This window comes from Homo sapiens, chromosome 12 (assembly GCF_000001405.40).
Source record: "Homo sapiens chromosome 12, GRCh38.p14 Primary Assembly".
In the NCBI taxonomy this organism is placed as follows: Eukaryota; Metazoa; Chordata; class Mammalia; order Primates; family Hominidae; genus Homo; species Homo sapiens.
The window spans coordinates 57,460,129-57,480,230 of NC_000012.12; the positions used below are offsets into that span (position 1 = coordinate 57,460,129).

General features: G+C 55.0%; 2 protein-coding genes and 1 long non-coding RNA gene across 32 annotated transcripts in view, besides 7 other annotated features; 1 reads left to right on the plus strand and 2 right to left on the minus strand.

Moving 5' to 3' along the window:
• The window catches only part of LOC124902947 (uncharacterized), a 5,531-nt gene extending 2,687 nt beyond the window's left edge, over window positions 1–2,844 (minus strand). The window contains exon 1 of the long non-coding RNA XR_007063335.1: window positions 2,615–2,844. This is a non-coding gene — a long non-coding RNA (uncharacterized LOC124902947). The remainder of the gene's footprint in view (window positions 1–2,614) is intronic.
• GLI1 (GLI family zinc finger 1) overlaps window positions 1–12,140 on the plus strand; it is a 12,484-nt gene extending 344 nt beyond the window's left edge. The window contains exons 1-12 of one of the 5 annotated variants that reach the window (NM_005269.3): window positions 1–73; window positions 3,537–3,663; window positions 3,871–3,963; window positions 4,545–4,740; window positions 4,983–5,127; window positions 5,479–5,568; window positions 5,660–5,797; window positions 6,112–6,261; window positions 7,205–7,369; window positions 7,866–8,096; window positions 9,303–9,570; window positions 10,189–12,140. The exon at window positions 1–73 is cut by the window's left edge and continues 344 nt beyond it. In NM_005269.3, the coding sequence (NP_005260.1) occupies window positions 3,564–3,663; window positions 3,871–3,963; window positions 4,545–4,740; window positions 4,983–5,127; window positions 5,479–5,568; window positions 5,660–5,797; window positions 6,112–6,261; window positions 7,205–7,369; window positions 7,866–8,096; window positions 9,303–9,570; window positions 10,189–11,933 (3,321 nt within the window). In that variant the 5' untranslated portion in view covers window positions 1–73; window positions 3,537–3,563 and the 3' untranslated portion in view covers window positions 11,934–12,140. Of the gene's footprint in view, window positions 74–148; window positions 428–3,536; window positions 3,664–3,870; window positions 3,964–4,544; window positions 4,741–4,982; window positions 5,128–5,478; window positions 5,569–5,659; window positions 5,798–6,111; window positions 6,262–7,204; window positions 7,370–7,865; window positions 8,097–9,302; window positions 9,571–10,188 lie in introns of those variants that run through there. The other 4 variants (XM_011538189.3, XM_011538190.3, NM_001167609.2 and 1 more) reach the window with 4 other exon arrangements.
• Window positions 1,605–1,654: a silencer, noted in NCBI's record as "silent region_4581". NCBI's record gives its function as "represses an Ori minimal core promoter by ATAC-STARR-seq in GM12878 lymphoblastoid cells {active_cell/tissue: GM12878}" and the evidence as "EXISTENCE:reporter gene assay evidence [ECO:0000049][PMID:35858748]".
• Window positions 12,141–20,102, minus strand: part of ARHGAP9 (Rho GTPase activating protein 9) — a 16,556-nt gene continuing 8,594 nt past the window's right edge. For 2 of the 26 annotated variants that reach the window (XM_047429329.1, NM_001319850.2), the window contains 18 exons: window positions 19,602–19,660; window positions 18,963–19,296; window positions 18,412–18,629; window positions 17,331–17,552; window positions 17,028–17,141; window positions 16,743–16,835; window positions 16,462–16,523; window positions 16,236–16,326; window positions 15,943–16,038; window positions 15,648–15,803; window positions 15,355–15,487; window positions 15,163–15,270; window positions 14,747–14,845; window positions 14,498–14,575; window positions 14,295–14,348; window positions 13,914–14,048; window positions 13,475–13,580; window positions 12,141–12,560 (listed from right to left, as the gene is read on the minus strand). In XM_047429329.1, the coding sequence (XP_047285285.1) occupies window positions 12,389–12,560; window positions 13,475–13,580; window positions 13,914–14,048; window positions 14,295–14,348; window positions 14,498–14,575; window positions 14,747–14,845; window positions 15,163–15,270; window positions 15,355–15,487; window positions 15,648–15,803; window positions 15,943–16,038; window positions 16,236–16,326; window positions 16,462–16,523; window positions 16,743–16,835; window positions 17,028–17,141; window positions 17,331–17,552; window positions 18,412–18,629; window positions 18,963–19,296; window positions 19,602–19,660 (2,330 nt within the window). In that variant the 3' untranslated portion in view covers window positions 12,141–12,388. Of the gene's footprint in view, window positions 12,561–13,474; window positions 13,581–13,913; window positions 14,049–14,294; window positions 14,349–14,497; window positions 14,576–14,746; window positions 14,846–15,162; window positions 15,271–15,354; window positions 15,488–15,647; window positions 15,804–15,942; window positions 16,039–16,235; window positions 16,327–16,461; window positions 16,836–17,027; window positions 17,142–17,330; window positions 17,553–17,656; window positions 17,740–17,872; window positions 17,962–18,411; window positions 18,630–18,962; window positions 19,480–19,601; window positions 19,739–20,102 lie in introns of those variants that run through there. The other 24 variants (XM_047429331.1, XM_047429330.1, XM_047429334.1 and 21 more) reach the window with 22 other exon arrangements.
• Window positions 15,773–16,662: an enhancer, noted in NCBI's record as "H3K27ac-H3K4me1 hESC enhancer chr12:57869684-57870573 (GRCh37/hg19 assembly coordinates)". NCBI's record gives its function as "activates a minimal SCP1, AML or CMV promoter by ChIP-STARR-seq in naive H9 embryonic stem cells {active_cell/tissue: H9 hESC(naive)}" and the evidence as "EXISTENCE:reporter gene assay evidence [ECO:0000049][PMID:30033119]".
• Window positions 17,132–17,261: an enhancer, noted in NCBI's record as "active region_6538". NCBI's record gives its function as "activates an Ori minimal core promoter by ATAC-STARR-seq in GM12878 lymphoblastoid cells {active_cell/tissue: GM12878}" and the evidence as "EXISTENCE:reporter gene assay evidence [ECO:0000049][PMID:35858748]".
• Window positions 17,712–17,911: an enhancer, noted in NCBI's record as "active region_6539". NCBI's record gives its function as "activates an Ori minimal core promoter by ATAC-STARR-seq in GM12878 lymphoblastoid cells {active_cell/tissue: GM12878}" and the evidence as "EXISTENCE:reporter gene assay evidence [ECO:0000049][PMID:35858748]".
• Window positions 18,272–18,321: an enhancer, noted in NCBI's record as "active region_6540". NCBI's record gives its function as "activates an Ori minimal core promoter by ATAC-STARR-seq in GM12878 lymphoblastoid cells {active_cell/tissue: GM12878}" and the evidence as "EXISTENCE:reporter gene assay evidence [ECO:0000049][PMID:35858748]".
• Window positions 19,842–19,891: an enhancer, noted in NCBI's record as "active region_6541". NCBI's record gives its function as "activates an Ori minimal core promoter by ATAC-STARR-seq in GM12878 lymphoblastoid cells {active_cell/tissue: GM12878}" and the evidence as "EXISTENCE:reporter gene assay evidence [ECO:0000049][PMID:35858748]".
• Window positions 20,062–20,102: part of an enhancer, noted in NCBI's record as "active region_6542", that runs on past the window's edge. NCBI's record gives its function as "activates an Ori minimal core promoter by ATAC-STARR-seq in GM12878 lymphoblastoid cells {active_cell/tissue: GM12878}" and the evidence as "EXISTENCE:reporter gene assay evidence [ECO:0000049][PMID:35858748]".

Consider the following 20,102-nt stretch of genomic DNA (forward strand, 5'->3'; position numbering starts at 1 on the left):
CTCCCCACCGCACACCCCCCAGCCCAGACTCCAGCCCTGGACCGCGCATCCCGAGCCCAGCGCCCAGACAGAGGTGAGAAGGGGGGGCAGGCGGGGGACCACCTGGGAGCAGTGGGGGAGGGGGCCTGAGGGGATGCTCAGCTTCTTAGGGACTCATCCCAGACCCGGGACATAGAGGCAAAATAGGGGTGGGAGAGCCTGGGGTGAGACATTAGAAACTCCAGATTTTTCACTTGTGTCTTTCTCTGTATCTTCTTTTTCTTCCCTTTTTTTCTTCTGTCAGTCTGTGTATCTCTGTCTCAGGGAACCGTGGGTCTTTGTCTCCGCCTCTCCCATATATTAGAAATATCTTACTTTCATGCGGTTAAGTTTAAGAGGCTGGAGGGATGGCTAGCTGGAGGTCTGCGTTGTAGAGAGGTAACCCCAGGTGTGTGTCTGCGCGTGGGGTAGGAAGATGTCAGTGTTTCTGAAAGGTGGGGACTGCAAAGGAGGGAGCTCCAGGTGGGGTGGGGACGGGTGTGTGGGAGGCAACAGAGCCACTAGGGGCCAGCCAGGCTTGAACCTTTGACCTGTCTTGTGACAGATGTGCCAGTGGATGCTTGTGCTTTAGGGGAAAGGAGTGTCTTCTGGACTTGGAAGGGGGCTGGGGCGGGGGGGGGCTGTCCAAGGTCTAGTGAAGGCCCTAGAATGACCCCATGCAATTTGGACTCCTGAGTCCCAAGGGCTGTGGGCAAGGAGCTCAGGAGGAGCCGGGGAGACCTTGTCTTGACCCTCTGACCTCAGGACCACCGGGGCAGCGGGAGCCAGCCGCAGGGAGACCCCTACCGGGGCTGGGCGGGACCACTGGCCACTGCCAGCCTGTGTATCCCCGTTGGCACCCCGCCCAAACGGGAGCTGGGGATCGAGGCCCCTCCTCTGGCTCAGACCACCCTGCCTGCCCTTGCTCCCCGCTCTGAATCCTCTTTCAGGTCCCATGACCCCGAAACAATCAGCACTGGGCAGCTAGCTTTCGGGACAGGATTACGGAAAGGGGACCCCGTAGAGCCTGGGGACTGAGGGTTTTAGGGGTCTGGAGAGCTGGGGTCTTCTAGGATAGGTCTTTACGTTCCAGTAGAGGGAGAAGGCGGGCGGTTTCCCGGGGGATATGTAAGGGTCGGAATAAGTGTGGTTTTCCCTAGGGGGCGGGGTCCAGAGACCTCTCCCCCTCCACCATTATCTCCCTGGCATCCCCGCCCTTGACGTCACCAGGGGGTTCCCGGGGGTCTGGAGGGGTTAACCCTTGGGAAGCCGGCTGCTATAACCAGCAACCTAAGGTGTCCGGGCCCCTCCTCCTCCCCATACACACCTAATTTTATTGACCCAGTCACTTTCTCTGCTTTCTCTCCCCTATACTTTCTGGATTCTTCTCCCTTTCTAACCCCACCAACGGGGACCCCCACTCTCCAGTAGTGCCCCCCTGGGCGCCACTGCCTGCTTTCCGGATGTGCTGAGAGGAGGAGGGAAGAATGTGGCCCGCCCCTCAGCCCCCACCCCTATGGCTCGCTCTACTGGGCTCCCGGGGCGGGTGGGGGGAGCGGAGCCGTCTGCAGCCAGTGCCTGCGGCGGCGACTTGGGTGGGCCGAGGAGGCACGGGGGCGGGGAAGGCGGGACCGGGAGTAGGGGGGCGGAGCCGACTCCTGGGAGTTGGGGAGCGGGGGTGCGAGGGGGACGCTGGAAAACAGGGAGACACCGAAGATGGTTTAGGGCTCCGGCAGGGGAACCCTAGAGCTCCCTGTCCCATCCCGAACTCTCACACCCCAGAAAAACTTTACCGAAGCTAAAAAAGTTGGCGACATTTTCCTTTTACTAGCCTGAAGGGGAGATATGGGTGGGCTGTGGAACGCGTGGGCGAGGAGGGGTGTAGCCCCATTTCCTTGGAGGCTCTTCGGCAGCTAGGCAGTGGGGCAGAAAGATGACTGAGTAGGCAAGTTTGGGGGAGTCTCTAGTGTTTGGGGGATCATTTGCAAACTTCCCTCCTTCCCCTGGGTGAGTCATAGAGGGAAGGAGGCGGGAGAATTGTCCCCCCATCCAGCTGCCAACCAGCTGTGCCCCCCGCCCCCCAACATTAGTTCCAAGGTCGAGTTGGGAGGTCTTGGATGCGGGATCCGCACCTCGGTTGGAAAAGGAGGAGTTAGAAAAGGGTACAGCCCAGGCTGCCGGGCCGGGCTGGGTCGCGGGGTCCGGGTTCCGCTCCCCATCTCACCCCGCCCTCACCCTAAATCCCAGCATCCCGGGATCACCCACCGCGCCGGCCGGCCCGGCCCGCTCCCGGTGGTTCTCCACCCCATCCCGCCCCACCCCACCCTCATTCCCGGGAGACTGGAAAACCCGGGATGGAGTCAAAACTGGAGTTTGAAAAGAAAAACGGACAGCAGCACCTTCTTCCTCGCTACGCTTTTATAAGGATCACATTGTTTTTTTCATTCTCTCAGAGTCTCCCCTCATACTTCCTTTCCTGTTCCCCCAAAACAGAGACCAAAAAGATTAGGTGGGCCTGATTTAAACTACCCCAGAATAACACCAGCTTTCACCTTTGTGCCCAACAGACCCAGAAGACTCCCCTCAGGAACCTTACCTCCTCCTCCACACTGTTTTCTGTCTAAGAGGGCAGATGGCTTGTGCTCCCTCCTGGCCCCACCTGGCTCTGTGTCGGGACTGTGGCTAGGGCTCCCTCTGCTGGACACTGCAGAGATTGTACACGGGCTGTCCCTGGGGAGGGGCACGAGAAGGAAGGGGGAACGGGCTCTAGCAGAGCCGCCCAGTGCTTGAAGTCAGATCCATCACACGAGTTCTCCCATCCCACCCTCAAAGCCGGCCCAGGGTTACAGCAAGAAGAATTAGAGGGTCCATGTTACTAAAATCACTTGAAGTTAATATAGGCACAATTAGTCCAAAACATGCCTTCTACACACAGACCACACAGGCAAAGCTCCCACCCAGGCAAAGCTCCCACCCAGTTCCCAAGAAGATCCCCAGAGTACACAGACTACAAGACTGCCTCTGCCTCTCTGGGACATCATTTCCCCTTACCCCTCCCCTCACTCAGCGAGTGATGCTTTTTTTGTTTTGAGACGGAGTCTAGCTCTGTCACCCAGGCTGGAGTGCAGTGGCACCATCTCGGCTCACTGAAACCTCCGCCTCCCAGGTTCAAGCGATTCTTCTGCCTCAGCCTTCCGAGTAGCTGGGATTACAGGCACCCGCCATCATGACTGGCTAATTTTTGTTTTTTTGTAGAGACGGGGGTTTCACCATGTTGGCCAGGCTGGTCTTCAACTGACCTCAGGTGATCCTCCCGCCTCAGCCTCTCAAAGCGTTGGAATTACAGGCGTGAGCCACTGTGCCCGGCTCAGTGATGCTCTTTTCAACTCGAATTCCGTGGCAGATGTCTTAGAGGGGTGGGGGATACCAGGGATGTTCTGCCCAGGATTCTGTGCCTGAGACTGCTGTCTGACAGTCTCTATTTCCTCCACCTTTATACCTACCTTCCCTTTCTGCAGTGTCCCCACACCCTCCTCTGAGACGCCATGTTCAACTCGATGACCCCACCACCAATCAGTAGCTATGGCGAGCCCTGCTGTCTCCGGCCCCTCCCCAGTCAGGGGGCCCCCAGTGTGGGGACAGAAGGTCAGTGTATATACCAATCCCTGGGCCTTGAGGATTTGGCAGATCTCCCACTTGGGCCCACCCCCACCCCATGCCAGTTTCCTATCTACAGGAGGATTTGAGGCCCCATGTCATATGGACCTGGAATCTGGGATCAGGTCATGTCTGGGGTTTTAAGGTGAGGTTTATGTATCCTCCATTCCCATTCCAGCTGTCTCTTTTTTCTAGGACTGTCTGGCCCGCCCTTCTGCCACCAAGCTAACCTCATGTCCGGCCCCCACAGTTATGGGCCAGCCAGAGAGACCAACAGCTGCACCGAGGGTGAGGGCTCAGGCAACACCTCTTCCCTTTCTGCCCCTCTCTGACTTGTTCTGAAAGAGAAAGTGGGAGGGCAGGGGATCTCACTTGGAGGAGGAGATGCTTGGAGATGTGAGGCGTCAGAGCACCATCAAGAAGTCACAGATGGGGCCGGGCGCGGTGGCTCACGCCTGTAATCCCAGCACTTTGTGGGGAAGCCGTGGCAGGAAGATCGCTTGAGGTCGGGAATTCAAGACCAGCCAGGCCAACATGGTGAAACCCTGTCTCTACTAACAATACAAAAATTAGCCGGGCGTGGTGGCTTGCACCTGTAGTGCCGATTACAGGGGAGGCTGAGGCAGGAGAATCACTTGAACCTGGGAACGCAGAGGTTGCAGTGAGGCAAGATGGTGCCACGCACTCCAGCCTGGGTTACAGAGCATGACTCTGTGTCTCTCAAAAAAAAAAAAAAAAAGTCACAGATAGCATCAATAGGGCAAAGCAGAATCAAGTATCATTGGTTTTGCCAAGTCAGGACCCATAGGTTAGGTGCATGGAGAGACATGCCCCTTTACCATATCCGTCTCCGCTGTCTCCTGCCCCAGGCCCACTCTTTTCTTCTCCCCGGAGTGCAGTCAAGTTGACCAAGAAGCGGGCACTGTCCATCTCACCTCTGTCGGATGCCAGCCTGGACCTGCAGACGGTTATCCGCACCTCACCCAGCTCCCTCGTAGCTTTCATCAACTCGCGATGCACATCTCCAGGAGGCTCCTACGGTCATCTCTCCATTGGCACCATGAGGTGCAGTCAGCCCCGGGCCAAGAGGCCCCTAAAGCCCCTACCCAAGTCCATTAAAAGTCTCAAGCCCTCAAACTACCTAACCCTATTTGAATCCTTGTCATTTCAAAGACAACTCTCCTCAGTACTTCCCTGGGACTGCCTCAACCACTACAAATCCCAAGTCTTCCAGAAATCCTCCAAATAGCCCAATCCTTCCTGAGACTTCCTAATTGTCTTAAGTAACTGCCTCCTCTCCTCCTCAGCCCATCTCTGGGATTCCCAGCCCAGATGAATCACCAAAAAGGGCCCTCGCCTTCCTTTGGGGTCCAGCCTTGTGGTCCCCATGACTCTGCCCGGGGTGGGATGATCCCACATCCTCAGTCCCGGGGACCCTTCCCAACTTGCCAGGTGAGAGTCCCCATATTGCTACCTGATTTCCCTCAGCTCAGGGTGGGTGGGTGGTGGATTTTGTAGGGGAAAGGTGAAGGAAGGACAAGGGATATAAGTTTTCAGTACTAGAAAAGTAAAGAGGTGTGGGTGCTGGGGTTCACTCCTTGCAGTTGAGTCAGACGCTTCCAAATGGGATCCCACCTTTTGCCCATCCCATTCACCAGTGTAGTCTGAGGAGGAAGTCCCTTCCAAACCCAGGAGGTTCCAGCTGCTTGGGTGGGGGCACTTAGGGCAGGAAGACCTGGCTTGGTTTCCTCTTCCTTCTGCTTACTTCCACCCTCATCACCGTCACCTCTTCCCCTGGGGAAGCTGAAGTCTGAGCTGGACATGCTGGTTGGCAAGTGCCGGGAGGAACCCTTGGAAGGTGATATGTCCAGCCCCAACTCCACAGGCATACAGGTAAGGGGATGGGCAGGAGCTTTACCTCTGGGACCTGAGCAAAACTAAAGCTGTCACCCAAGTGACCCTGAGATTGCCTCTCTTGCCCTAGGATCCCCTGTTGGGGATGCTGGATGGGCGGGAGGACCTCGAGAGAGAGGAGAAGCGTGAGCCTGAATCTGTGTATGAAACTGACTGCCGTTGGGATGGCTGCAGCCAGGAATTTGACTCCCAAGAGCAGCTGGTGCACGTGAGCCCCAGGGGGTAACAGGAATGGCTAGCCAGAACCTTTAGGAGATTCTGAGTGGGACATGGTGGAATCCGGCTGAGGGCAGGAGGTCAGAGGAGACTGAGGTTGAATGCTCAGTTGGGTAGGCAGAAGCTCAGAAGTTGTAGCTTTGCCTTAGGGAGCTGGAAGACCTGAGATGTGAGATATGATATTGCTCCTGCCTCTTCCTCCTTGAGGTGGAGTCGTGGAAGAGGAACAGGGGGTGGAGGGAAGGTCTGTTCTGGACCTCAGGGTCATGGGAGAGCCTTGGAGAGCCTTTGTATCTTCTCCCTCAGCACATCAACAGCGAGCACATCCACGGGGAGCGGAAGGAGTTCGTGTGCCACTGGGGGGGCTGCTCCAGGGAGCTGAGGCCCTTCAAAGCCCAGTACATGCTGGTGGTTCACATGCGCAGACACACTGGCGAGAAGCCACACAAGTGCACGGTGAGGCACCAGTGTCCCAAGTCCAGGGTCTCTTCCTAAATCAGGGCTCTCCTTCAAGGTAGGGCCCAAGGCAGACTTTTGCTTTTATAAGTCCTTTCTTCCATAAACAAATATTAAAAATAATGTTTGTGTGACTGTGTTGGCATAAAGATGAATATGATGATATATATTAAAACACTCTTGGACCTAAAAGCTCATTTTTTTCCCCTTGATTTTAAAAGACATTAAAACAGGCCAGGCACGGTGGCTCACACCTGTAATCCCAGCACTTTGGGAGGCTGAGCCAGGCAGATCACAAGGTCAGGAGTTCGAGACCAGCTTGGCCAATATTGGTGAAACCCTGTCTCTACTAAAAAATATAAAAATTAGCTGGGCGTGGTGATGGGCGCCTGTAGTCCCTGCTACTTGGGAGGATGAGGCAGAAGAATCACTTGAACCAAGGAGGTGGAGGTTGCAGTGAGCTGAGATGGCGCCACTGCACTCCAGCCTGGGCGACAGAGCAAAACTCCGCCTCAAAAAAAAAATTTTTTTTAAAAAAGACATTAAAACATGTTCGTGGGCCTCTTAAAGTATTGTTGGCCTTCAGTACTGTGCCTACTACTCTGCCTAATGGATAAACCCTGCATCAAGGACAACAGCCCGTTCCCCCAAGATGACCCCATCTTGGGACAGCCTAAGATCCCCATGCAGAGAAATCTGCCCTGGCTTGGTCAGAAGATGCTCTAGCATCTTTATATTCCCAAAGGGAGAGTGCCTCCAACTGCTTCCCTTCTCCAAGTTCTTGCCTGCCCTTGTCCCCTAGTTTTGGGAATTCTCTCGAAGCCCCAGTGCCTTTCATCTTGAGTTATATTCTCTGATGTGTGTCCTGTTGGAGATTGAGGGTTCCTTCCATCTCCATGTCCTCTGTCTGAGAACTATCCTTTGACCCCTGCATGTCCCCCAGTTTGAAGGGTGCCGGAAGTCATACTCACGCCTCGAAAACCTGAAGACGCACCTGCGGTCACACACGGGTGAGAAGCCATACATGTGTGAGCACGAGGGCTGCAGTAAAGCCTTCAGCAATGCCAGTGACCGAGCCAAGCACCAGAATCGGACCCATTCCAATGAGGTGAATGCCCTAACTAAGCGACCCTCCCCTCTTGAGAAGCCACCTACCAGGGAGATTCCCCCATAAGAAATCCCTTAGCCCAGCACCCACTCCACAGAGGTGAGTCCCCCTCCCCACATAATTCGCCCAGAAAAGGCTTTTCTGAAACCCAGAATTTCCACTTAACCACTCCTCCTCCTACCTCTAACCTCTAACCAGCCAAAAGGCTAACCTAAAAGATTCCATCTAGAGGAGACCCCTGATCCCTCCAACCCCTGGATTTATGGGACCTCACAGCCCTGGGTTCACCCCCTCATCTTTCCCAGGCTGTCAGTTTTCCTAACCCTCCACTTAATCTCTGCATCTTTGACTCCCACCGGAGGCCTCCATCCTCCTTACTTCCTTTGGTGCTGTGTGCTCCTCCCCTGCCCCCTGTGTTGTCACCACTTTTTCCCATTTCTTCTGCATTCTTCCGCTTTGATCCGTTTGCCTTCTGTCTCCACTCTCCACTCAACAGAAGCCGTATGTATGTAAGCTCCCTGGCTGCACCAAACGCTATACAGATCCTAGCTCGCTGCGAAAACATGTCAAGACAGTGCATGGTCCTGACGCCCATGTGACCAAACGGCACCGTGGGGATGGCCCCCTGCCTCGGGCACCATCCATTTCTACAGTGGAGCCCAAGAGGGAGCGGGAAGGAGGTCCCATCAGGGAGGAAAGCAGACTGACTGTGCCAGAGGGTGCCATGGTGAGAGAGCCCAGGCAACCCTCACCTCCATACCCCAGCCCACCCTGTGGACATCTTTCTAGTTACTTCCCAACCCATCCATTCCCTCCTATAGAAGTCACTCTTCTGTGACCAGTCTGCCTGTCTCTTGTCTTAGTGTTGCTCTTTGGGCTTCCCCAAATCTAGAGGTTTTAGAATCTTTCTGTCTCACTCTCTCACTCTCTTTCTCTCTCTCCTTCCTTCCTTCTTTCCTTCTTTCCTTTCTTCCTTTCTTTCTTTCTCTCTCTCTCTCTTTCTCTCTTTCTTTCTGACAGAGTCTTGCTCTGTCGCCCAGGCTGGAGTGTAGTGGCATAATCATAGCTCACTGCAGCCTCAAACTTCTGGGCTCAAGTGATCACTACAGGCACACCCCATCATGCCTGGCTAATTTTTCTTCTTTTTAGAGATCGAGTCTTGCTATGTTGACCAGGCTGGTCTCAAACTCCTGGCCTTGAGCGATCCTCCCACCTCAGCTTCCCACAGTGCTGGGATGAGCCAATGCATCCAACCCAAACTCTTTCTTTTTTTTTCAGACGGAGTCTCGCTCTGTTGCCCAGGCTGGAGTGCAGTGGCATGATCTCGGCTCACTGCAACCTCCGCCTCCCAGGTTCACGCCATTCTGCCTCAGCCTCCTGAGTAGCTGGGACTACAGGCGCCTGCCACCACGCCGGGCTAATTTTTTTGTATTTTTAGTAGACATGGGGTTTCACTGTGTTAACCAGGGTGGTCTTGATCTCCTGACCTCGTGATCTGCCCACCTCGGCCTCCCAAAGTGCTGGGATTACAGGCGTGAGCCACTGCACCCGGCAACTCTTTCTTAAATAGCACTTAGTATATGTTCCAAGCCTTTTACATGTATAATTTCATGTACTCCTCACAGCAACTTCATGATAAAGGGACTCACTGTTCCCATTTTCAGTTGAAGAAACTCAGGCATAGAGAAATAGCCCAAGGTCATAGAACTAAGAGCAAGAATTTGAGTCCAGCCAGTCCGTGCTCCAGCCTAGGTTCTTCTCATCAAACGTCTCACATTCAGTTTGCTCCCCCATCTCTTACCTGCTTAGCCCTTTCTACACTTACAAGCTTCCTTGGAACCCCAGCAGTCACTGGGACACAGGCTTCAGCCACTCATCAAGTTGAAGGAGCTGTGGGGAAGGGTGTTGCCCTCAGACCTCATCTTCTCCACAGAAGCCACAGCCAAGCCCTGGGGCCCAGTCATCCTGCAGCAGTGACCACTCCCCGGCAGGGAGTGCAGCCAATACAGACAGTGGTGTGGAAATGACTGGCAATGCAGGGGGCAGCACTGAAGACCTCTCCAGCTTGGACGAGGGACCTTGCATTGCTGGCACTGGTCTGTCCACTCTTCGCCGCCTTGAGAACCTCAGGCTGGACCAGCTACATCAACTCCGGCCAATAGGGACCCGGGGTCTCAAACTGCCCAGCTTGTCCCACACCGGTGAGACCTGGGTGTGGGAGGTGTGGCTGGGGTGAGATCTGGACCTGCCCTGAGGTTGAGAGGAGGAAGTCACCCTTGAGGGCTGTCACACAGCACTTTTGTATAATTAGAAAATGGTGTCCTTCCTCAAGACACTTTCCATTTATCAGAAAATAGTTGTGATGTACAAACATGCAAAGGCTAGCCAGGCATGGTGGTGGGCACCTGTAATCCCAGCTACTCAGGAAGCTGAAGCAGGAGAATTGCTTGAACCTGGGAGGCAGAGGTTGCAGTGAGCTGAGATTGCGCCATTGCACTCCAACTTGAGCAACAAGAGCGAAACTCTGTTTCAAACAAAACAAAACAAAACAAACAAACAAACAAGTATGCAAAGGCTATGATGCGAATGCTGTTCCCTAGGATTGTGCAGCACACAACCTGCACAACTGTTCATAGCAACCCTGAATCCTTGGTAACCCAGAAACAGAATAGGCATGGGAGAAGTAGGAGACAGAACAGACTGGTTAGGGATAACGAGCTTACCCCTGAGAATCCAGGGCAAGGCTGTTGCATGGAGGAGGCAGGGTGAAATTTAGGAAGCTCCTTGACCATCCTACCTTTTCTCCCCATCACTTGCAGGTACCACTGTGTCCCGCCGCGTGGGCCCCCCAGTCTCTCTTGAACGCCGCAGCAGCAGCTCCAGCAGCATCAGCTCTGCCTATACTGTCAGCCGCCGCTCCTCCCTGGCCTCTCCTTTCCCCCCTGGCTCCCCACCAGAGAATGGAGCATCCTCCCTGCCTGGCCTTATGCCTGCCCAGCACTACCTGCTTCGGGCAAGATATGCTTCAGCCAGAGGGGGTGGTACTTCGCCCACTGCAGCATCCAGCCTGGATCGGATAGGTGGTCTTCCCATGCCTCCTTGGAGAAGCCGAGCCGAGTATCCAGGATACAACCCCAATGCAGGGGTCACCCGGAGGGCCAGTGACCCAGCCCAGGCTGCTGACCGTCCTGCTCCAGCTAGAGTCCAGAGGTTCAAGAGCCTGGGCTGTGTCCATACCCCACCCACTGTGGCAGGGGGAGGACAGAACTTTGATCCTTACCTCCCAACCTCTGTCTACTCACCACAGCCCCCCAGCATCACTGAGAATGCTGCCATGGATGCTAGAGGGCTACAGGAAGAGCCAGAAGTTGGGACCTCCATGGTGGGCAGTGGTCTGAACCCCTATATGGACTTCCCACCTACTGATACTCTGGGATATGGGGGACCTGAAGGGGCAGCAGCTGAGCCTTATGGAGCGAGGGGTCCAGGCTCTCTGCCTCTTGGGCCTGGTCCACCCACCAACTATGGCCCCAACCCCTGTCCCCAGCAGGCCTCATATCCTGACCCCACCCAAGAAACATGGGGTGAGTTCCCTTCCCACTCTGGGCTGTACCCAGGCCCCAAGGCTCTAGGTGGAACCTACAGCCAGTGTCCTCGACTTGAACATTATGGACAAGTGCAAGTCAAGCCAGAACAGGGGTGCCCAGTGGGGTCTGACTCCACAGGACTGGCACCCTGCCTCAATGCCCACCCCAGTGAGGGGCCCCCACATCCACAGCCTCTCTTTTCCCATTACCCCCAGCCCTCTCCTCCCCAATATCTCCAGTCAGGCCCCTATACCCAGCCACCCCCTGATTATCTTCCTTCAGAACCCAGGCCTTGCCTGGACTTTGATTCCCCCACCCATTCCACAGGGCAGCTCAAGGCTCAGCTTGTGTGTAATTATGTTCAATCTCAACAGGAGCTACTGTGGGAGGGTGGGGGCAGGGAAGATGCCCCCGCCCAGGAACCTTCCTACCAGAGTCCCAAGTTTCTGGGGGGTTCCCAGGTTAGCCCAAGCCGTGCTAAAGCTCCAGTGAACACATATGGACCTGGCTTTGGACCCAACTTGCCCAATCACAAGTCAGGTTCCTATCCCACCCCTTCACCATGCCATGAAAATTTTGTAGTGGGGGCAAATAGGGCTTCACATAGGGCAGCAGCACCACCTCGACTTCTGCCCCCATTGCCCACTTGCTATGGGCCTCTCAAAGTGGGAGGCACAAACCCCAGCTGTGGTCATCCTGAGGTGGGCAGGCTAGGAGGGGGTCCTGCCTTGTACCCTCCTCCCGAAGGACAGGTATGTAACCCCCTGGACTCTCTTGATCTTGACAACACTCAGCTGGACTTTGTGGCTATTCTGGATGAGCCCCAGGGGCTGAGTCCTCCTCCTTCCCATGATCAGCGGGGCAGCTCTGGACATACCCCACCTCCCTCTGGGCCCCCCAACATGGCTGTGGGCAACATGAGTGTCTTACTGAGATCCCTACCTGGGGAAACAGAATTCCTCAACTCTAGTGCCTAAAGAGTAGGGAATCTCATCCATCACAGATCGCATTTCCTAAGGGGTTTCTATCCTTCCAGAAAAATTGGGGGAGCTGCAGTCCCATGCACAAGATGCCCCAGGGATGGGAGGTATGGGCTGGGGGCTATGTATAGTCTGTATACGTTTTGAGGAGAAATTTGATAATGACACTGTTTCCTGATAATAAAGGAACTGCATCAGAAAAAATACCATGCCACTTTATGTATTATTATGTTGGGGAGGAATGATAACAGGGAACAAGAAGAGAAGCAGGGGTTAATCCACTCACTTTCCTCTTTAGAGAAGCTCCCTCACCCATCCCAACACCTCAAGTCACACTCATGAAGATAGAGACAGTCATTTGGGAGATTTAAAGGGATATCCTCAAAACAGAACACCAGCCTCTCACCACCAGAGATGACCGGAAATATGTTTTCTCTTCTTCCTTCCCTGCATCAGGGGAAGAGGCTGGTGAAGTTGGTGAGCATCAGCTGGACCAGCTGCCCTGGGTAGAGAGCATGGGCTGCTGGGTCAGATGTCTCCTGCTCTGGCCGAAACAGGGTTGGTCCAAACACAATTCCCAGGTTGTGGGGTGTCATGCGATTCTTATCTGAGTGTGCTATCACCCTGTAAGCAAAGGCCAAGGAAGGGGATATATGGCAGCAGCTTGCCACTTCATAGCAATCTAACTAACCCTTCAAAGTTCTGAGCAGGGAAGAGTTCACTCTGGGATTCCTCCACATGGTAACAAAAAAACCAAGGAGATACAAGGAGAATGGAGATGGACCAGTGGAGAAACCTTCAGGATACAACCTGAAGATATAACTGCCTCTTCCGACTTCAGGGGCTGCCCCAAGAGTTCTGCCTGCTCACAGTTTGGGAGTCTTTAATTCAAGTGGCCATCCTCTCTCAGAAGTCACTGCCCAGGCCCAGTTCAACCAAAGAAGCCATCAGCAATGTCCCAATGGGAGACAAAGAGGCAGAGGGAAGGGAGAAGTAAGATTTCCCTTATTCCTTTCACAGCATCTTGGTTCCATTTCCCCACTTGATGCTGACCTTTAGGTTTTGACCTAAAGTCTTTGACGGGCACGGTGTAATCCCAGCACTTTGGGAGGCTGAGGTGGGTAAATCACCTGAGGTCAGGAGTTCGAGACCAGCCTGGCCAACATGGTGAAACCCCGTCTCTACTAAAAATACAAAAATTAGCCAGGCGTGGTGGCGGGCACCTGTAATCCCAGTTACTCAGGAGGCTGAGGCAGGAGAATTACTTGAACCCGGGAGGCAGAGGTTGCAGTGAGCTGAAATTGCGCCACTGCACTCCAGTCTGGGTGACAGAGCGAGACTCTGTCTCAAAAATAAATAAAATAAAAAAATAAAGGTTTTGACTCTGGTAATATGCTCCTGCACAGAGGTTGCCTGCTTCCTCACCTGCCCATTAAACTTAGGTGCTTCCCTACCTTCACTCCACCTGCACAGAGTCCCTGTGGCATTCCCCACTCCACCTTTCCCCAGCATGAACAAAGAGGTTCTGTCTTCCTGACCTGCATAAATGCTCCAGGAGGTACCGTAGAGTGTCATGGTTGGGCTTTGGCATTGAGCCTATTAATTCTTGTATCTGAGAGAGGCACTGCTCTGATTCGGAGAGTGCTAGAGAGAGTGATGGGAAAGGCATGGTAGTAAGGTTAGGGAAGGTGCTAGGACAGGATGGGTAAATGCACTGCTCTTTCCCACAGGCATGGAAGACATCATTAATCTAGCACAGCTTTCTTTTTCACATAGCCCAACTATAGCCTCATAATTCTTTTCAATTCAGCCCTCTAAACATTCACAAAAAAGCAACTGGAGTAGGCACCTGAGTTGAACATTATTTTCCATCTCTAAAGTCAGAATGGGAAAGAAGAGTATAAGGGAACCTCTATTCTATTATTTACCACCCGTGTCCCCCACATCAAGGGTTCTTTCCAAAGCTCCAACCCTTACCAAGGGCAGCACGGAAATGGGGCAGCAGCAGTGGTGGCACCAGAGGCTGGGGCAGCTCCCGGAGAAAAAGCTTCAGGGCTCCGGTGACCACATGAATGTCATCCCACTCAGTACTGTCCAAATCTAACCGACCTTCTGGAGGGAGAAGGAGGTATAGGGGCTCATGAAGGGCCAGAAAGATTTAGAGACTGAGAGATTAGAAGTTCTGGAGAAATCCAGTCAAAGCAGACTATAGGAATGCCTAGAGGGTCTGCAGTGGGGCAAGGTAGCTAAGGTGGGGATGAGGACAACCCTCCCAGGAATAGTACATGGGGGTTTCCACGGGAAGCAAAGAGGATATGTGGAAGTTTTAGGGATCTGAAGGGTCTTCCATGTAAGTACCTTGTCCTGGCTGTTCTGGGAACACATACCTCCCATCGGAGGTGACCGCACGCTCTGCAACATGAATGAGGAGAGATCAGGAGCTAAGACATACACTTCCAGCCTGACGGCCTCTCTATTCTGCCAGCTTCCTCATGTAGGACCGCCCATGGTTCTCAGGCAAGACATTCTTAGTACAACCACTGGCCCACAAGCCTTCTCACCTCTGTCCACCAGAAAGCGAAGCTTCTGGACCACTGCCAAGTTCCCGCTCACCCGATAAATGCCATCCACATCTAGACCTGGGAGATGAGGAAGGAGTAGATAAGGACTGCTGCTTGAAAGTGTGTGTGGTGAGGGATATAAGGGTGGAGAGAAAAAGGGCAGTAGGAAGACTAGGTAGAATGGGGGAGGCAGAAAATTCTAGGCCTTAGCCTGTTGGAAGAGGATTCTGGGGTCTCTGAGAAAATGACCTCTTTTATCCACAGCAGCAATGCAGAGCCGCAAAAAGCTGGGCACCGTGTCTCCTTCCCGCTGGCAGAGTGATTCCAACTGGCAGCCGAACACCTGGTCTGGGGAAGTAGAGTGAGGCGGGAAGCCAGTGCCAGCGTCACTCACAGGAGCTCTTCTCAGCATAGGTCTTTATCCTTAAGTGAGGCTGGTCCTCCTGGCTGCCTGTGCCAGGCCTGGGCAAGGAAATACACTCCACCTCCCTTCCCCTGCTTCAAACAATCTGGCAAAGGGGTACAGGTCACCCCAGCTTCTCCCCTAAACAATCTGGGGTAGTGGGAAAGCAGCAGTCACAGAAGGTTGTGGTCTAGTTCTGGGAAGCTCTACTCTGAGCCTCGCTGGAGTTTTCTTATCCATGAACCTGGCCCAGCCCCCTCACCTCGGAGCAGACCCCGCTCCTGCAGGCTTTGTAAGGGCGGTCTCTTCGCGATGAGCCGCTTTAGTTTGTTGCGCACGCGGTTCTGCTCGGTGCCTTCGGGCCCCCGAACTGCAGGAGGCAGGTAGAGCGGGGCGTGAGCGCCCGGGAGCCTCGCTGCGCTCCCGGACTCTCCCTCCCCAGCCCGCGCCTCACTGGAGCTCCGGCGGCTGCTGAGGCGCAGCAGCGGCTTGGACACCAGCTCCGACTCCTCTTCTTCGTCCTCCCCGGCGCTCAGCTCCGCGGGTCCAGAGCCCGACAGACGCAGCTCCAGGGGGTTCTCCCGATCCTAGACCCGGGGCGGGCCGTGTCGAAGGTGAGAGAGGAGAGAAATCTGTATCCCTAGCTGGACTCTGACCCACTGCCGGGGTCCCACATCCCGGCCCAGGCAAGGGCTCTCCACTGAGCCCACCCTGCCCCCAACTGCTCCTGACTCCTATCGTTCCTACCCCACTCCCTTGGTCCCGGCCGGTCGGAGCCTCCCTCCGGGCCTCCACCCATCTAACCAGCCGCTCGATGACAGTCCGCAGCGCGCGGTGCCAGGCTCGCAGCTCTGTCTCGTGGTCCGACTGCAGCAGGAACTCGTGGCCAGGGATCGTGCGGATCTGAGGGCCAGGCAAGGAAACGCTCGGGTCAACGGGAAGGAGTATAATAAGCAGGGAGACCTAGCGGGAGGCCTGCGCGGGAGATTGGGGGCGCCCTCGGGTCGGGTGGGGCCTTGGGGACGCGCGGGAGGGCGCTCACGTGCAGGACGTTGCGGCGGCTGGACAGGTGGCGGCCGTGCGCCAGGGCCGCCCCGCGCAGGTCCACGCTACTTTCGGGCCGGCTACCCGCTGGTCCCTGACAATGAGGGAGGAAACTGAGGCCACGGTGTTGTTTCCTTCACTGCTTCCCTCTCCCCGGTGGGCTGTGAGGAGGTGGGAGGCTTCCTCACTTCTTTACTTTCCTCTGCACCGCCCTCCCCGCTGCCGCCCCCACATTGGCGTGAGGCGGTAGGCAGCGCCCGCACCCATCCTGCGCCTCTCGCTCACACTCACCCAGCCTGAGGAGGGCGCTGTCGGCGGTGGCTCTCGGTAGAACACCAGGCTGTTACCCGTTAACACCACCCAAGACGGGCCCCAGTTCTTCCTGCGGGGACAGAGAGGGGAGGTAGTGGTAGCGAACAGGTCATTCTAGAATGACACGAGGAGGGTGCTCTTCCAACACCCTGCTCTACCCTATGGAGTTGACAGCCCAGGCCCTAGCTGTATTCTGGGTTCTCACCTGAGCTTGCGCCCCCCTTGGGCAATCTTGGTCATGTTGAGCAGACCCGACTTTTCCACCTCCTGGGAAGTGGAGGGAATGGGATCTGTAAGTCACCCTCGCCCTCCATAGTGGCCACGGCTTTCCCTAGGGGGTCTCCCAGGAGTGAAGTCCCTTAAAGTTGCTGGGGGAGGGCTGGGTAGGAGGATATTCAGAAAGAGGAAGATGTTTATGTGGAGCAGGAAAAGGGGGGAGGGGGGGCAGGGAGGATCTTGGCCTTCACAAAGAAATGGGAGATTCACATGGGGGTCGTCCAGGAGCTGCGGCAGAGGTCGAGGGGCCTGCAAGGCTGGAGGGTCAAGCTGCGAGGTGCGTTGGCTGAGGCTGAGTGAACCCTAGGGGAGAGGATTGGAGAAACAGGTGGGGAAACGCTCGACTCAGGGATCCCTGGCTGAAGGAGGAAGAGGGGTGGGATACGGGTGAGAGGTGGGGGGTGTGGTGGGGAATGGAGAATGTCTTACACAAAACAGAAAGTCATAACAAGCTGGCTTTTTCTGCATGTGACTGGGAGATGGGAGGGATCTCACCTGTGGGTCAAGCGGTTCTGGGGTCCCTGTGTCAGATCTGAAGCCCTTTGCCTGAGGTTGCAGGACATCATTGTTCCTCTTCAGGGTCTGTGTCCCCTCCATGGAGCCAGGGTTCTGGGTTAGGGGAGGAGGAAATAAAGCTACATCCAGATGCCACCTCTACCCACTCTCCACACCCTTCTTATACTTGGCTGATTCTTCTGATCTTCTGAGAGCCCCGGAGAGAAAACACACTACCTTGAGGTTCATCAGGGGAAGGAAGAGCTTGAGGGGACAGTGGAGAAGCAGGAGGTAAGGTCTCACCGTCTCGCTGCGACTGCGGCGCGGGGGCTTCCAGGACTTGCAGCCAGTCAGTGAATTTATGTAGAAGCAGCGTCCAGAGTTGGGGTCCAGGTGCTGCTCCCAGGCATCCAGCCTCTGCAGCAGGGGGCATGCAGGGCCTGGGGGTGGGGACCGAGGACAGCGGCGAAGGTCCACCAGGTTACAGTACACAGGGGGCTCTGACATGAGGGGCTGGGGGCCTGCCTGCCAGAAAAGGGGGAAGAAGGAGGTGGTCATTCTGCCTGTTGCCCTTCCCATGCTTCTCTTGGCCTTCCCACCTCCTGCTCCCTCCCCCATTGTCTTCTCACCGCCAGCTCTGGGCTGAGGTGACCCAGGGTACTGGGGGAGAAACCTCAGGCCCCAGCTGCTTTTTAAAAATTCTCTCTCTCACAGTTTTCTTTGCTCTTCTCCTCACTTCCTGTTGCCAACTTCCCGCCTCCCCCACCCCACCCCCACCTCAGGGCCACAGGAAAGGGGAACAGGCTTTTTGTGGGGTGGGGGGAATGTTGAAGGGGGTGCCCCACCCTCACATCCTGCAAGGTAAAAGAAGACAGAGAAGGGTCTACAGAAGGGAAGAGGAGCCCCTTTCCACCCACGGTTAAGAAAGAGAGGGAAGGGCTGGGCAAGTCACATCTCTAGAGGAGACCTGCTGTAGCCTATCAGGCAAGCAGAACACAGAAAAACCCTGCCCTGGGCTAGGAGTCTGGAGGAAGGAAGAGCACAGGGCTGGCCTTTCAGTGCCTCCACTGCGCCCTGTGCCCTGTCCCCTCAGGGCCTTTGGTACCTACTGTCCCTTCTCACCTCCTACCCAGTTTGCCTCTCGGCTGCCTCTTTCTCCTCCTTGCTCAGAGTCAACTGAATGCCGTGACCTCACAGATGTCTCCCCGCACCACCTCAGCCACTCTCCACCACATTAACTTGCCTTTAGACTTATCAGTAGTACCAAGCGTTATCTTATTTATTTGTTTTTGTGTTTGTCATCCCCAGGGGAGTCCCCTGAAGACAGAGGTGCTGTCTGTCCTGTGCCTAGAACAGGGCCCAGCTCAGAAGAGCTGTGACTCACTGTGCTGGCACTGGCTTCTGACGGCAAGTCTTCCTGGGAGAGGGATCTTCCGCTTGGTCCTTCCTGGAAAGGCTTCAGAAGGCTGGGGCTCAGATTGTCAGTGCTGACGCTCCTACACATTTTGCGGGGAAGTGGAGGAGGCTGCTCCGAGCTAGCCTGAGCCCTGCTTGGGAGGGCCTGAGACAACTCCTCCAGGGAACCATGAAACAACTTCGGCCCTGGAAACAGAAAAGGGGAGGGTGGGTGGCAGGTGATCAGAGGTGTTGTTGTAACTGGGTCCCTCATCTTGGGAACTCACAGGGAAGACAAGAAGGGCAGAGGGAGGATGTGGAAAATGGCATGAGACCTAGAAGCCTTAGGACTAGGAGGACAGGCAGTGGGATGAGGATGCCATGGCGGGGGCAAGAGGTAGGCTGATCAAAGAAAAACAAGAGAAGATGGTTAGCAGAAGCTTGAGGGAGGGGGACCTCCCCAAAATTCCCAGAAGCCAGGGAGGTAGGAAGGTGATGGGAGGTAGGAAGGTGAAGGGAGAGGGCTTAGCGCTTACTCACCAGGAGTCCAGAGCAATTGGCCGGGGATGACGGTAGTTGGACTCTGGGAAGGGATGGATTCCTCTATCATATAGGCTGCTGGGACGAAGATGGGTCGAGAGGTGGAGGGAGCTTCTAGGCGTCTTGCCAACCACCAGTCGGAGTTGGTCTTTCGAAGCAGTAGGAACCTATCCCCTTCAGCCAGAGACACCTGCTGGCCATCTGCCCCAGTATAAGTAAAGGCATAGAGGGCACAGAGCTGGGATCCCCGAGGAGGGCTTCGGGGGCCCAGCCCTAGGATCCCCCAGGAACTTGGCCACCACCGGCTGGATAGCATTGTAGCCAGCACTGTCACCTGTGAGAAAAAGGGACACTGGAGACCCAGAAGGGAATAGGCCTGGCTGTCTCCAGGTAGACAGACATGGTTCTAGGAGCAGTGTTGCAGGGAGGTGAGGACGGGAGCCCTTGAGTTGGGGGAGAGGGTAGAGCAAACAGCCTGGTGAGGATCGGTGACAGGTTTTGGGGGCTGAGAACTCCTGGTGGTGTCTGGTGAGGAAGTATGTAAGTAACATGAGAGAGGATGTGGTCAGCAGGGCTGCATGGCCAGCAAGGCAGGAAATTAGAGGAGATGACCTAGGCCAGTAGTTTTCCTCCAAGTACCTTGTGGGGCCCATCAGAAGATTCAGGAGCAGGAGTTGGTCCTGGGTAGTGGTGGGAGTCTTGAGGTGGACACAGGAAGGAGATAAGAAGAAAGAATCAGGTTCAAGACAGAAACAGGGAGACACAAGGTTAATGACAAAGACAAAAATGTGTGTTATTCTTTATTAAATTTATGCAAGCATCAATGTTTCCGTTACCAGTCACCTCAGACCATAGCTGCGTGCTTCCTGTGCAGACTCAGAGAGACATGGTGACAGAGAAACAGAAAGCCAAATAAATACCAAGACCAAATCAGAGAGAAAGACAAAGTGGGAGAAACACAGAGGGATTCAGAGTTGAAATATCACCACCCTCCCAATCCAGGACACGATTTTGGGAGCTGAGAAGCCTTGATACTGTCCTGTACACACAAGCCTCTTGAGGCAGGAGCTACTTTAGTGTGTGGGTTCATTCATGCTTTTTTTTTTTTGAGACGAAGTCTCGTTCTTGTCCCCCAGGCTG